Source organism: Homo sapiens, chromosome 3, assembly GCF_000001405.40.
Source record: "Homo sapiens chromosome 3, GRCh38.p14 Primary Assembly".
Lineage (NCBI taxonomy): Eukaryota > Metazoa > Chordata > Mammalia > Primates > Hominidae > Homo > Homo sapiens.
The window spans coordinates 86,971,487-86,988,143 of record NC_000003.12 but is presented as its reverse complement, the minus strand read 5'-3'; the positions used below and the strand labels follow the sequence as shown (position 1 = coordinate 86,988,143).

Below are 16,657 nucleotides of genomic sequence, written 5' to 3'. Positions count from 1 at the left end.
CTTCTGTATTCAATTGTAGTAGTGTATCTGTCAACTAATTTCCCCCTCAAACTGTATGGCTCTGAAGTCCTTATTAATTACTGTATCAAAATGATTCCTTATGATGGATTTTAAACACAGGTATATTTTTCCTCTTAACAAATGATCATATAACATTGAGAATTATTTTGGAAATAACAGAACTTCATTATCCAGGCATGTGTACTCTCACCTGTTTTCCGATAAGCACAAATGTGCACCTGAAATTTAAGTTTAGGTTTTTGTTGAACATATTGCATGTTGTAGGTGGGTAATAAGTGAATGTCATTTTAAAAACCTAGTTAACTGTATATATATATTAGCTTGCACTGCAGTGTGTTACTTAGGTATACAGTGGGCTAAAAAGTCAAAGTAAGCTAAAATATGTGCAAAGTATACATTTTATTGTCCCTGACATTAATTACTAGAAATTGCATGGCTGGGTATAAATCCTACAGTGGGGTTTATAGAGCCAAAATTACTGAGGGATGCTGGGTGACCTGTTTCGCATGCCCACCATCTCTTTCTGGCTTTAATATGTCAGTCTCTAACAACTCCTCAGGAGAACCCTTGACTCAGTCTCTCAGCACATGCTGTCAAAGGTTTCAGAATTATGCAGTTTATAGATGAGACAGAGAACAGTCACTGGTTTTCTAATTGTGCATGGGGATTTTTAACAATCACACTTTGGGCTTCATATAAAATGGAGTATATTTACTCTGTCCTCTTCCAGGGTAACAGCTGGATGAATCTGCATGCATGCTTTCACTTGAAAAAATTAAGTGCCCTTGGAGGGAGAACTTCAGTTATAAGTTTTGTAAGGTGTTTTTTCAAACTCTCTCTGGACTCTGCTACGTTGGTTGAGTCATAAAATTGTTCTGCAATTCGGTTTGTCAGAGAAAAAAGCCCTGGAAAAACATAACTTCAACTCTTCTTTTTACAAGTGAGAAAATGGATTTTTATAGGGCTGAAATGCCTAGCTAAAGATTTCAAAGCTGGTGACAAAATTAGGATCACCAGATCCCCCTTTCTCCGGTGTAGCATCTTTGTACAATGACATGAAATTTCCTAAAGCTTTTTAAATTTTTTTAATGTTTTGCTATTGCACAATAGGCTTATTTTTGTCTTTAGGTCCCCAATCAATTTTTTTTCTAATGAAGATTAATATGCAATAGATTCTTTGGCGTTGGAGTGCGAGATTCTTTCCAAGTCCTTGGTAGTGTACTTTTTTAAGTTTAGGCATTCCAAAGGCCGTTAGCAAGCATTTGGATTATGCTAATGACTTATGCTATCCATGTTGCACCCTTGTTGATGAAACAGTATATCCAGTTAGCAAATGAATATTTATTTATCTAAAATAAAATACAGGAAGTGGTATTAGCAGTTAAGTGTCTCATCTATTATTGCTATTCCAACATAAGTTTAGATTCATTAAGAGAAAAGAATACAGTTATAACCAAAGTAGTTTCAATTCACAGACAACTTATTTGAGGCAGAGGATCTATTTTTCTTGCAACTGTAAGTAAGGACTTAAGTAGATTTATAAAAATTTATACAGGACTTCTTTGAGAAAGAACAGCCCCTATAACTTCACACTACACAAATTAACTTCACTGTAGAGACTTCGAGACTTAAAGTGCCCCACAGCTTCATGCTCCCTATAACTTCCCAGCCAGAAAATTCAAAGCTGGAGGAAAAATTAAATGTTAAAATAATTGAACTCTTATCTCTGGCAGTCAACCAGAATCGAGATTACAATGATGATGGTAAGGGCAAGATTGAGAACCATAAAATCATGCATAGTGAGGATGTGTTCACCAAGAAACAAAATGCCAGGACAAGGTGACACTGTGGAAATTTATGTAAAGGGTATTCTGGCTAAATGCAAGGAAGTTCTACCTTATCTAGCCCTTAGTAAAATTTCACATCTCACAAAGCCGGAGATGGCAAGGAGGTGACCTATAAGATGGTAAAAGAGGTGTTTAGAGTGGAAAGTCTTGTTCTCCTATGCACTGTTTCTTCAGGTTACTGAAGAAGAAGCTGGGCTATGTGCGTGTGTGTATATATGTGTGTGTGTGTATACGTGTGTGTGTGTATATATATATATATTTGTCATATCTATCTGTGCAAAGGGAATTTTCAATGGGAATAAAACTATTATGCTTATGATGCCTAAGGCAGATCTTAAAGCAAACTTGTAAGCTAGGTGACTGTCATTCTAAGACCTGGGTGCTTAGCTTGGTTCTCACTTCCATAGGCTCTGTGTCCAACTAACTTTTTAAAAATCTGAAAACTAATATATCTTGTAATAGATAATATGTTAGGGTATTACCTCCAAGAAAACATTTTTATTCAAGAAGCAAAAGCTCTCTAAGAGTTGAATTTGAGGCTCTGTCAGGGACAGTGAAAGCAAAACTTTTGAGCTAAGCTCTGCTCTGAACCTTTCAAAACACATCTCTTTAAGCAGCTGGTTTTCTGCTCTGACTACTCATTTAGGAAGACCTAAGACTGCCTTGAACCATTAGACCCAAACAGCTGCTGCTAGAACAACTCATAAATCCATATTTACTGATAGTTCAGTGGATACCAGATTTACGCCAGTAATTTACAAGTGTGGTCTGAACTAGGGTAACTGAACCATTTTTCACTTGTCTCCTTCTTTAGTTGAAGAAGAAAAGAAGAATGACTTAAATTCAACAGGTGTCATTTCTCCTTAAAACCAAATGATTTCAGTATGCCAAAACACTTGTCATTGGAGGATGCAGTAGGGGGACTCTAAAAGTCTATCCTTTCTTGTTAATATGAAGACAGATAAACGAAGTGCCATAACTAATTCCTAGGAATTGGGCTAGATGACCCATGTCTGAAAATAAATTGTTCTTCAATGATCTGTAGGGTTTTTTTGGCTAAATATCAGAAGAGGCAGCCAATGTAAGAAAGAAAATTAAGTGTGAATTTGTCTAGAGCTCCAGCATGTTGCTTATTAAGATATAGAGTTGGATGAGAGACCTCTGAGACAATCAAATCAAAGTTTCTTGTTTTCAAAAGAGGAAGCTAAGGGCCAGAAGCTTCAGTGGCTTGCTCAGACTCATGGAAATAGTTTCGGTCAAATCTTCTTTCCCATTTCAGTTCTTTTTTATTGAATTCCCTTCCCATCTGTGCTGCTTTAGAAACAAGAAAACAGTTAGTAATTAACCTATGTTATCTTTTGAATTTTCTTACTTTTAAATTTTGGAATATTAGCCACTTAGAGATTATAATGCCATCAGCCATATAAATAAACCATGAGGCTCTCTTTATTTATTATTGCCCTTACTATACTCTTCCAATTAACTATGAGAAGTTTGAGTTTAGGAACAGGCTATGACTTTCATCTTTGTGACTCCAAGTCTTTGCATAATTTCTGACACAAGGTAGGTATTAATTGACAACTAGATAAATTAATGAATAATGGATAAATTACCTTAAAAATGAAATTATACCCTAAGTCTAGTAATAGAATTATACAAACTAACTAGAAATTTATATGTTGGAAACTGTTGTCTCCTTCAAAGTAGTTGGTTTGAGAGAGAACACATACCCTCATGATATGATCATTGCTTAAAACATTTTGGGAATGTAAATTTTGAAATCGCCTCTAAGCCTGTGGCACATTTTTTTGAACATCATCAAAACTGGCAATTTTTCTTCCTTGGAGGGGTTAGGTTTGATTTTTTGATAATGTCAAGAATCATTTAGAGGCAAATGCACTCAAAAGTAACTCATCCTGTTAAGTTATATTATTTTCGGTTGGCTCCTCCCTACTGTTAACAAAAACAGAGAAACAAACACAGAATCCTGAGGTGTGATTTTGTCTCACAGACTGACTGGTCAAATTTCCAAAATAAGATTTTCAGAAAAATTGTAGACAATTGTTTTATGTATCTGATTTGTCAAGGAGATAATATGTTCTTAGACATAGAAGTTCAATTTCACCTAGAATTATATATGTTTTTAAAAGCATGACATTGTTTAATCTCTAACTTTTTAATGTCATGAATTTTAGACTGTCCTAGTTAGCATGTGATGCCATGCTGACTGATGTTTTCTGTTTGTCTGTTTATTCAGTTAAAATAAATATCGTAGAGACACATTTTCTTTAGTCTATTTTCTGGGTACATGCTTTGTAAACAGACAGAAATAGGTTCTAATCCCATCTCTGCCACTTACCATTATAGTTAGGCCATCCTGACCCAGTAATTTGCATATTAACTTATTACTTGGGAATACTTATTCTGACAAAATATGTGTATGTGAGAGGACAGTTATGTGAAATGAAATATACAAAAGATTTGTGATATATGTTCCTTAACTTGACCCAACCTCATATAACTTGACCTATCCTTCTCCAAATAGACTAAGAACCAAAATCTGTTATCCAAGTAAATTAGGAAATATGTGGCCAGGCACGGTGGCTCATGCCTGTAATCCCAACACTTCTGGGAGGCTGAGGCAGGAGGATCACTTAAGGCCGGGAGTTGGAGACCAACCCTGGCAACATAGTGAGATCCTGTCACTACAAAAAAATTAGAATAAAAAATAAGGCCAGCATGGTGGCACACACCTGTAGTCCCAGTTGAAGTGAGATAATCATTTGAGCCTGAGAGGTGGAGGCTGCAGTGAGCCGTGGTCACGCCATTGCACTCCAGCCTGGGCAATGAGTGCAATGAGTGCAAATGAGAGCGAGAACCTGTCTCAAAAGAAAAAAAATATATATGGTCACAGAGTAATGTGCTGCTTTTATGTCCTCTATGATTTTGAAATATTTACCCTGGGATAGTGATTTCTTCTTATAGCTCCAATCATGTTTTTGAATATGAAAGAATCATTGTATTTTAAAAAGATAGCCAGTAGATTTTATTTTTAAATCTGTTTCTAAATATCCAAAGACTCCAGTGATTCATTAAAATACTTTTGTTTCCCTAGGAAAAAAAGTTTCCACATATGCACGGTAATCATTTGGCATTTTGTAGGCTTAAGCCTTGGGGAGTTAGTGGTATTTGGCTCCTGACATGGAAGTCTTTCTCTTGTCAGACAAATCCTTCCCCTGCACATTCCTGCTGAAAAATTTGTTGCTGTTGTGCCTAATGGCAAGCAGTGTGGTGGTTGGATATGGTCTGTACTGCCCAAGCGAACTCTCCACATTGATACTTTAACCTCTTTGTGAGTTAGCTTTAACTTTATAACTATTAACCCATTTATTGTTTCATCTTACTCCAGAGTCATTTTACCGAGGGAAAAATTGTCATAACTATGTAGTGGTGAAGAGACATAAATGTGCATTTAAGAAAAACAACAACTTGTAGTCTTTAAAATCCCTTTAGATGACTTTATTTTTGTTAAAATTTCTGCAGGGTCTTCGAAGAAAAACATAAATATTTCTGAGAAATCTGGATATTTTTAGGAAGTGATTGTGCATTTTGAGAAAAATACCAATTAGATTACATTGTGACCTTCAATCAGGAAATCTTGGTTCTGATGATTTGATATTTAGTCTCGATGTTTTGAATTTTATATATTATTCCCAAGAAAGAATGTAACACCAGGAAAATTTCACTGAAGGAGCAAACACCAAGTGAATACAGAATGTGGCAGAAGTGCTTATGAGCAAAATACTTAGTTAAAAAAAAAAAAAAAGCAGAGCTGGACGCAGTGGCTCATGCCTGTAATCCCAGCACTTTGGGAGGCTGAGGCGGGTAAATCACCTGAGGTCAGGAGTTTGAGAGCAGCCTGGCCAACATAGTGAAACCCCGTCTCTACGAAAAATACAAAAAATTAGCTGGGCATCGTGGCAGGCACCTGTAATCCCAGCTTCTAGGGAGGCTGAGGCAGGAGAATCACTTGAACCTGGGAGGCGGAGGTTGCAGTGAGCCAAGATCACACCATTGCACTCCAGCCTGGGCAACAAGAGCAAAAGTCCATCTCAAAAAATAAAAATTAAAAAAAGCAATAAATTGATTTACAGTCAACAGAACACAGACATTAGAAAGTAGTTGAGGCACCAGAGTCTATGGAGAATGAAATTAAGATGGGATGAAAGGCAGCATTTGAATCCATTGCTGTTTAAATGCTGTATTTCTGTTTTCCTCATGATCGCACTTAATGTTAAAAACAAGTATGCAAATTCAACCTTGGCACATTAGTGAGTTATCAGGCCATTTGGATACTTTGAGATTCTTATTTTAACCAGTACTGTTGATTGTGAGGCTATGTCTGTGTATGTGAGTGTGTGTGTGCTTGTGTGTGTTGTAAACGTAAATATTTAAATTGGTTCATTATAATCTGTGAAAATTAACCTAACTTTATCTGAAAAAAAATTGCAAGTGGCAACGGTAGACATTCTTGTGTCCTGCCTATGGGTAGATAGAAGCTTTTTTCATTTTATTTGTTTGATAGTTTTCTAGCAAATTTATTTAATTAGTAAAAGAATCGAGAGAGATAAAAAGAAAAAAGAAAGTATATAATCATTACAAAAAATTTTATTTAATTAGAGGAATCAGTATAAATATTTTAAAGAACCATATATATTTGCTATATCAAAAAGGAATATTTCAGTATACATATTTATGTAAATATAGATATATTACATATATGAAATAAAAAGAATATAAAGAATACATACAATGAGAGAATTCTTTTTCTAAAATAAACTGATGACAGATATTTTAATGCAGGGGCAGCTTTTGCTTACTATTTCCCATTGCATATTGAAAAATATAATTTTTAGGTTAGTTTATTTCTATCCAACCATTGAAAAATTGGTAGGAAAAGTAACACAATATTATGAAGCATTTAGAAAACTGTGAAATCTTAAATCAATTGAAATTCTATAGTTTAAATACAATAGTTTAATGGATTTTAAAATATCGATTTTAAAATTGATATTTTATGATTGCTACTATTGATAAGAATACTATTTGACGTTTGTATCAGGATTCATGGCCTTCAAATCCTTTACATATATATAACTTCAATTTTATTTCATCTAAGAATTAATTGCTGTCAATTAAGGATAAAATAAAACTTTGACTTTATTTGGATTGTTAATGTAGCCAGGCTCTTCTATTTAAAGAATGAATGTTACAATTAAACAAATAAAGCATTTATATGCAAAGCCCCACTCTCACAAACTGATGCTGAGCTGGACATTAACAGAAAAAAGAAATTAGTTTCACGGATAAGAATGAACACTTGTGGACAATGATGCCACCATGTAGATAGGTTTTAGGGTTTTTTTTTTTCATAGAAAAACAGAGCTGCTTTCTAATGTGCCCGAATATTCAGCAGAGAGTGTGTGCATATGGTTAAAACAATACATGTTTTAGGTAAATACACATGCACCCGAAGAAGCAGCACTGTGATTTGACTAATAAATCATAATATTCATTTAATTTTTTAATGGAATTTAAAACTAGGAATAGTTTTAGAGGTTATTTAGTTCGATTCCCTCATTTTACACATACCATATGTTTCTATGGTGTTTATACTATTGAAGTTAAATATAAACATGTTCAAATCTGTGCAGAGGTAGATTATGAGAAATAAAAGCAATCATCTATTCATCAGCAAGGCACATTCACTTACAAAGTATGAATTATCTATTCATCAACAAATCATAACCATACTGATACGAATTTTAAATAAAAGCAAAACACATATTTATAAATAACCATCCTGAAACGATAACTAGAAGTTCATAGTATTTCTGAATATTTCAGTACTCACCTTATACAAGAACAACATATTCACTGCTAGGGGAAAGGGACCAATTTATTGAATGGTGCATTTATAATTTGAAGCTATAGATATTGAAGCTAGTAATTACATTAGAAATATAGAGTCTGGGGTATGTATTTTGCTAACATTTGAAAAATTACTGGGTATTCTGGAGTGATTTATCTATTTCTACTCACATTCATTTTCCAGCATGCGTTTTTTTCAAAGTAAAAAAAAAAAAAAGGTATGATCAAGGATCAGGTTTTGCAGACATAAAGATGACAGAGAAAGCTCATTTCGTCACTAGAATAATACATTTCATATCTTTAGCATTATCTCCTTATATGTAATTCGCATTGAAGTTGATAATAAATGGAATATGTGCTCAGTGAAAAATGTTTGGAAATACTGAAAAGCAGAAATAAGAAAATGACAATTAACTATAAACGTATTACACAGAAAAACAATACAAAATACATTTTTGTAATTTTTTTACTCTAGATATCCCTCCCTGCCTTTCCCCACCAAATGTATGCACACGCATATCTATATGCTAGATATCCCTCCCTGCCATTCCTCAGAACATATATATGCACACACATGTCTATACCTGTATGTTTTTCTTATGCATTCTGACTCTGCAGCTTACATGATTTGTGACTTTTGGCAAGTAACTTAATTTTTCTGTGCTTTAGCTTTTTAATCTTTACAATATGGATAGTATTAATAGCCATGTTATAGAATTGTAAAGATTAAGTGAGGTGATAAATATAAAGTTTTAGAAACATGTCTGAAATAATGTATATTATTATTAGAATTATATTTTTAAACATTTTAAATTAACAAATCTTTCTCATTTTTAATTGAAAGATTAACCCACTACTAGTATTTTGTAATATTTTCACTAAGCCATAATGAAATCTTTTCCCCTCATGATAATGGTGGTAAACGGAACATCTAAAAAATATGTTCCATGCAAAATGCATCTTCACACAGACTTATTTTGCCATTTTAGTTTGATTTTTGAAGACATGAGTTCAGCACATCTGCCAAATCCTTTTATAAGATGCTACATTCCTGTTTTTATTTTAGTTTATTTTATTTATGAAAAGTTCTTTTCTTCTCCACTCCACCCCCAGACAGTCATTCCTCTCTGTCCTAAACCATAACACTGCTGTACATTGCATTTTTAAAAATAAACCAAAACTGGGAAGAAAAACTTTTTAAAAAAGTAATTCTCCTGTTGGCCTAGCTAGATGAAAAAACAAAAAGCAAAACAAAAACAAAAGCAAAAACAAAATCTTGTATTGAAAATATACTATTTGATAATGGGCTTTTATGTTCGTTTGCCAAATGTAGAATCACAGAGTTTTTGTTGTATTTTTTTTAGTGTGGGAAGGAGGCAACTGGTTTGGGGAGGAAAAAGATGGAGTAAAACAGATGAAGAAGAATCAGTTTGCAAACATATGTTAATATTTAGATTCTTTTTTTAAAAAAGTGAAAACTTAACTAGTGAATGCTTTTCTACAAACTGTCTTTGATACTGTGTTTTGTTTATTCCATCCCAGAAGAAGTTAGCGGTATTCAGCAAGATGCAGGACTCTCTGGAAGTCACCCTTCCCAGCAAACAAGAGGAGGAGGATGAGGAGGAGGAGGAGGAGGAGAAAGACCAGCCTGCCGAGATGGAGTACCTTAACTCTCGCTGTGTCCTTTTCACTTATTTCCAGGGAGACATTGGGTCAGTAGTGGATGAACACTTCTCAAGAGCTTTGGGCCAAGCCATCACCCTCCATCCAGAATCTGCCATTTCAAAAAGCAAGATGGGGCTAACCCCCCTATGGCGAGGTAAGAATTCAAAAGCAGATGTTCTCCAGGGCACTGTCTTTGTTTCGCAACTGCCTGTACCAGGTTCCAGCTGGAGACTTGCCCCTGAGGATGGATATCCACTTGCTTTTTAATATTTAAGGACAGTGAGGAATTTCTTTCAGACAAACAGCTGGATCGGTTTTGTCACATGTGGAATGTAGGGTTGGAAAGGATGCAGTCACACCCCTTAAATTCCTCATGGAAAGTAGTGATACAACCGGCTTGAGTTTATAGTGGCTGCACTGAGCTGCGAAGTACCATTCCTAAAGCCCCAGTGGCCCAATTTGGATCTCTAAATAATAGGCGTGTCTAAATCAGCTTTTAAAAAATTAGCTCTTGCTCATTCCAATAGGTGCTATGTGGTGACATACCAGAGACCTGAGTCTGACCCAGGAATACAGACATTGAAAGCTGTCTGTGTTCTTTGAATAGGCTTCTTTATCCTGATTTGTTATTGTATTAACTCTTTATAGTATACACTCTAGGCATTTTGGCAGCATCCACATGGCTTAAACTAGTGTTTTTACCTTGATAAAGAAAGAGCAGCACATTGGACTCCTTTATTTCTCTCTGTATCGAGCTCACAGAGATGTGTTTGAAACTGATTTCTGACTCATAGAAAATTATTGGTGACATCTAAATCAGGGTAATTACAGGGTTAGATAAAAACATAATACGTCATTCCAATGACAGCTTCAGAGAAATTTGCTACAGTGGTGATTTCTTCCAAATTCACCTGGTTATAGGAATGATCTAGTAAAATGGTTCTCGAGGTGTGATTTTCCTGACCAGGAACATCAGTGCCACATGGGAGCTTGTTAGAAGTGCGAATTCTTGGGCTCCACCCCAGACCTGCAGAATCAGAAGCTCTGGGGTGGGGCAATCTGTGTTTTAACCAGCCCTCCCAGTGACTCCAGTGCAGAGTTTGATAATCATTGATCTAGTCCTGTTAAGGACAGTTTGCAGGACCCCCTTATCTCGAATCTATTGAACTAGAATCTTCATAGGAAGGTGTGGGAATCACACTTTAACAAGGGCTCTGGGTAATTCCTATCATGAGGAAAAGCTGGCTACCTGTGGGCAGGGCCAGGTGAGCAGTGAGCAGTGACTAGTGGTACCTTCTGGGCAGCACAGGAATGGTTCTGCTCTACTGTAGAAGTCCTGGCCACATGGAATTGCTGGGCCTGATCTTTTCTTACCTACTTGACCTTTCTTTTCTTCTCTCCCTCCCTCCCTTCTTACCCTCTCTCCTTCCTTCCCTCCCTGTTTGCCTCTTCTCCTCTCCTCTCCTTCTTTTTTTTCTTTGCTTCTTTACTTTTCTTTTTAGTAAATATAAACAACACTAAACAGTGACTATAAAGGGGAAGGTGGAATACAAATAAAATATCCAAGGCCTTGATGGAAATGAACTGAAAAACATACTAGTTATTTGATTAGTAAATAATATGGGCTTACTATGAGAACTGAGACTTAGTCCTTGGAAGCCTATGATGCTTATGTAATAGACTAATGTCCTATTTAACAGGACGTGATGAATAATTTTAATAATTTGTAGAGGAAGAAAATAGGAAAACATTAGTGAGTTAGATGGCTTTAATAAATAATTTGATATATCAATAATGAATCCTATTAAGATAATCAGTGCCAGGAGAGTAATAAATATAATGTCTACTTCTTTTAGCACATGGGCATATGCAACCTTGCTATCATTTAAACTGAAAAATCAGAATTAATGTCCCAAATTATTTCTTGGTGTGAGAGTGATTGTCTATAGAATCATATTCAAAATAATTTTTAGTGGGATGTTGTGAATGTGCAGAAACCCTACAACACATCAGCATTTTCTCTGTAATTTGCAAAACACATTACACAAGTTCCTTTAGCAGATGTTAAACTGTAGCATAGAAAGGGTTAATAAAGGCAATGTTTTCATAACTACTACTAAAGTTTTCTTGGAACTATCTTAAATTTGATCTTCAAATATGTCTCCTGTTTTATTCATTGACATATTCAGCAAACATTTATTAACCTCCTGCTATGTGTTAGGCAATGTGCTAAGTCCTGAGACAGCCCAAGGCTCTACCCTCATGGAGCTTTTAGGGTAGAAACAGGAAACAAACAATTGTTACAAAATATGTTATTTTACATAAGGTGATAACAAAAGCCCTGTGTGGCACAGTTATGTTTGAGCAGATAGCTGAAGGAAATAAGAATACTCATCATGTGGTTACCTAGGGGAAAGTAATTCTACACAGAAGGGACAGATAGTGCAAAGGCCCTGAAGATGGACTGAGCTTAGAATATTCAATGAGAAGCAAAGATGCTGGTGTGAGGTGAATGAAATGCAAAGTAATAGGTGGAGAACAGATGCTTTAGAACTTTTTTTTTTTGAGATGGAGTTTCGCTCTTGTCACCCAGGCTGGAGTGCAGTGGTGCGATCTCGGCTCACTGCAACCTCCGCCTCCCCAGTTCCAGCGATTCTCCTGCCTCAGCCTCCTGAGTAGCTGGGATTACAGGGACCCTCCACCATGCCCAGCTAATTTTTGTATTTTTTTGGTAGAGACGGGGTTTCACCATGTTGGCCAGGCTGGTCTTGAACTCCTGACCTCAGGTGATCTGCCCGCCTCGGCCTCCCAAAGTGCTCGGAGCCACACTTACAGATGTGAGCCACCGCGCCCCACTGTTTTAGAGCTTTTTACATCAGTTTATCAGCATATACCAGGAGCACACAGCATGCGCTTCAATTTTCATCTCCTATTATCCCACTAAGTCTACAAATACCATATCTTCTTATGGTGCCTCATTTTTTCTGATGCTCACAACAATGTGTTTCTATGTGGAAAATCTGAAATAGATATGCATTGAATGATTAAGTGACTGAATTAAATGAACCAATTTCATACCATGTATCCGGAATTAGAAAACAAGAGTCTTTAATAGAAAATTTCTTGGTAATAAGTTATATGAACTCTTTGGGTACAGTTTTTTTTAATTTATAAAATAAGGGGGTTAAATTAAATAATTGGTAAAAATATTTTCTTCTGTAAAGTTCTGTAATTTCAAAGGTATTATTTGCTTTTCTTAGATCTTTGTCATAATTGTCTTAAGTTGTGAATTAGACAGATTTAGATAAATATATAAAACTTGTGTAGGATTTATAGGAAAGCCACAAACGATAATTAAAAATATAGAAAATGTCTTAAAGAAGAGGTTCAATAAAATGAGACTCACATTTTTATTCTCATAAAATGAGAGAGTTGGTGACAATTTAATATTAATTGGCAAAGCTACACAGGATTGGAAAATACAGTCTTTGGAGTCCATTTGTTTTAGATTCATGTTCCAGCCTTTACCTTCTGGTTGCAATGTGATCTTGGATTACTAAATTGAAATCTCTTACATCAACTTCCTCAACTGTAATATGTGTTTATTGATACCCATCTCATAGAGTTATTGTAAAGATTTTTAAATAATGTATATGAATAATTTAGCATAGAGCTTGACTCAAGGTGCTAAATGAAAGCCAGATGCCTTTTCTCTCTTCCTTAAGTAAGTTTCCACTCATTTGACACATAGAAAACAAACCCTGAGCCTTTATCCAGGAACATTGTTTTCTGGAACTTTGTGTTTTTGGTACAAAACACACAGTCTTAGATAATAGTAGATACTAAAGGCTAATGATAATGTTAGTGGCCATGGCAATGATGCTTAGAAAGGAACTGCTGACCGAGTATTAAAGGGTCTAGTTTACAGCATAAAGTTATTACAGTGCCACAGAAGTGCTACCATGCTACAAACAAATTTAATAACTGAATCGTGTTTGACTAAGAATATATTTACACGGTAAATCTTTAGACAAAGAATAGTGTGTCAGCTAATAATGAAAGAATGGTTATACTTTGAATGTATATCTCCTTCATGAAGCTAGGTAAGTTTTTTTAGGTGTTTTTCAGCTGTAAGGCAAACAATGATAGGAAGTATATGTATTTTACTTGGCACAATGTCTTATCAGTTACCTCTAATCCTGCTATATATTCTAACAGGGTTGAAAGAATTTCATTTCTTTCCATTAAGAAAACCTAACTAGCTGGGCGTGGTGGCTCATGCCTGTAATCTCAGCACTTTGGGAGGCCGCGGCCGGGCAGTTCACCTGAGGTCAGGAGTTCGAGACCAGCCTAGGCAACATTGTGAAACCCCATCTCTACTAAAAACACAAAAAATTAGCCAGGCAAGGTGACAGCCACCTGTAATCTCAGCTACTTAGGAGACTGAGACAGGAGAATCGCTTGAACCCGGGAGGTGGAGGTTGCAGTGAGTCGAGATTATGCCATTGTACTCCAGCCTGTGTGACAGAGTGAGACTCTATCTAAAAAAAAAAAAAAATAACAAACCTAATGAATATGATTGGTCCCTTATCTCCATACAAATATATGTTTCTTGATACCCTTCTCCTAGAGTTATTATAAAGATTTTAAAAATAATCTATATGATTAATTTAGCACAGCGCTAAACATTGGTTTCAAATATGCCTATGCACTGATCTTTACAGAAATGAGTCTGTGTGTATCTGTAGAAAAGGGCAGGAGCTATGTCAAGCCATAGCAGAGTAAATCACTGACTTAAAACCATACAGAATGCTAATCTTACTGATATTGCAGTTGCAAAGAAAATCATCTGTTGGCTCATTGATGTACATAGGGTCTGCTTGGGCAATTCATTCTCATGGGAAAAAGCTCTCAAAATAAATACGAAACCTAAATAGTCAAATGGAGAAAGGAAAAGGAGGGCCTGTCTGATGAGCTGGCTGATACTGGAAATGAACAGAATGTCCATAGGACCAAGACATGGGGAAAAAAGTGAGGCGTGACTAATCTCACCCTGCTGCCTCCAAGGAGTATCGGCCTCTGACATCATCCCTTGAAACTCTCATTGTAGAGTCACAAGGCCCATTTTGAGCAACTCTAGAAGAAAGTAACTAGAAGGCAATCTTTGGACATAATGGTAATGCATAATTACTGAATGACAGAAAACACTGGAACACATGTCATTTCACTTCTGACCCAGCCATTTATTTTTATGGGAAGAACAACAAGAGAATGGCAATGAAATTACAGCAAGAACACTTTAGCTTAAGAATTGAGTAGAATTTTGTTTTTTAACTGATATTAATAAAAAATGTAAAAATGTTACCTTTTAGCATTTAATAATCATATTTTAATCAATATTGATTCTAATGTGTTTTCTGGAAATTTTTAAGATGACTTAGAGTTTCTATAACACTTCATTGTCCCATTTTCCTTTTAATTTAGTTTTTGTTATTTTCAAAATTAATAAGCTGTATCATTCTTTAAATTTTGAATCTTATCTTTCTTAAATTTTTTACTCGGAGATTTTAAAAAATTTTTTTGGAGGTAATGTGTGTGTGTGTGTGTTTTTTTTAAGAGACATTTACAATCAGTGTAAAAAGTATCCCACTATTGTGAAATTGAAAGAAATACCTGGTATACCATGTTGCAGTCTAAATCAGATAGTGAGATTACTGGGTTTGCTTTTAGTGGATTTTATTAGACAATGTATCAATATTATCATTTTCTTTTTTGTCTAGAAATAAACTCGTGTGTATGTATGTGTGAGTAATATTTTTAACCCCAAATGAAAATTGAACCAAAATTACAGTTGGGCATTTTGTATGTGTTAGACTGTCAGTGTCAACATCATCCAAATATTGGTTAACATCACCTGTATACCAGGTAATATTGAATCCAAACTCACCATATAGTGTTAATAGCATAAAGTATTGTATTTTCTTCACTCACCTGAAATGTAATATTGCATAGAAATAGCCCATGCAGTTTTTCATATGTCTTCTTCATCCAACAAATGTGGCTGTGATTAAGTACTCATAAGCAAAGAATCATGTAATGAAAAAAATTTACATACATATGAAATAAGCACACTGGTTCTCAGGCATGAAACAAAGCATATCATCTCTTCCTTTGCATCAAGACTTTTTTTTCTTAAACAAGCAAGACACCGAATAGTGATTTTGAAGTATAAACTTCTTCATAAACATATTTTCAACTCAATATTGTTTCAATTGTAAATGTAACAGGTTTTTTTTAAAGGGCTGCATAGATCTTTGCAAACTTTATATTCATCTCAAGAGACATATTGACTGGGAAAATATTAAGTTCCTTTTAATTTTATTTTTCCCTGGAGCATTTTAAAACTTTGTTCAATCTTTATGGAGTGCATTTTCAAAAATAGATTTCTACTTTCAGTAATAATGTCTTCACTAATCATGGTACAGTACTTCATAAATAGACCAATAATATTTTTGATAAATAATTGATTCATTATTCCCATTTGCGCATGCATATTCAAACTGCATAAGCATCTATAAAATAAGATTGGCTCCATGTACATATAAATGAGACTAAAAGCATACAGAGAAATGGTATATACTCTCCGTACTTTTGACATCTTAATGGTGGATTTTAATAAGGGGAATTCTATATCTCTGGCACGTACTTGTGGTTGGGGCTCAACGGTTTTCATAATAGGATTCTAGCCCCTCGGGAGATGGAAGTTAGGAGCAGAATGAAGGCTTTGGTCCCAAAGATGGGAGTTGTGAGAGCAAAGTGGCAGATGTGTGGTAGCAAGGATGAACTATGTAGAATAAGGAGCCTCTCTAAACTCTCTGTATGGGTTTTAAGCTTTAAACATTGATGGCTTTCATTGTGGGTATGACAGAAATATTTTACAAATGACCATCACCTAAGGCAAATTGAATTTTCTTCTTACAACTTACACGACTTTCCTTCTTGTCATTAATAGTATTTTTCATATGTTGCAAAGAGACGATTGTTAATTCAAGAAAACATAGTTACCTCAATGTCAGTAAGGCTGATTATAGGTGGTATTTTTGGATAGATTGTGATTTTAACAAAGTCATTCAATTAAAAGTTTCCTGAGGTTGTTTGAAGACTTAAAGTGTGCAGTTCCATTCTTTGCCTTT

General features: G+C 35.1%; 1 protein-coding gene across 4 annotated transcripts in view; it reads left to right on the top strand.

Annotated features, from left to right (window-relative positions):
- The window catches only part of VGLL3 (vestigial like family member 3), a 53,177-nt gene that overhangs the window by 3,006 nt on the left and 33,514 nt on the right, over positions 1 to 16,657 (top strand). For 2 of the 4 annotated variants that reach the window (NM_016206.4, NM_001320493.2), the window contains exon 2: positions 9,342 to 9,618. In NM_016206.4, the coding sequence (NP_057290.2) occupies positions 9,342 to 9,618 (277 nt within the window). The remainder of the gene's footprint in view (positions 1 to 9,341; positions 9,619 to 16,657) is intronic. The other 2 variants (NM_001320494.2, XM_006713138.5) reach the window with 2 other exon arrangements.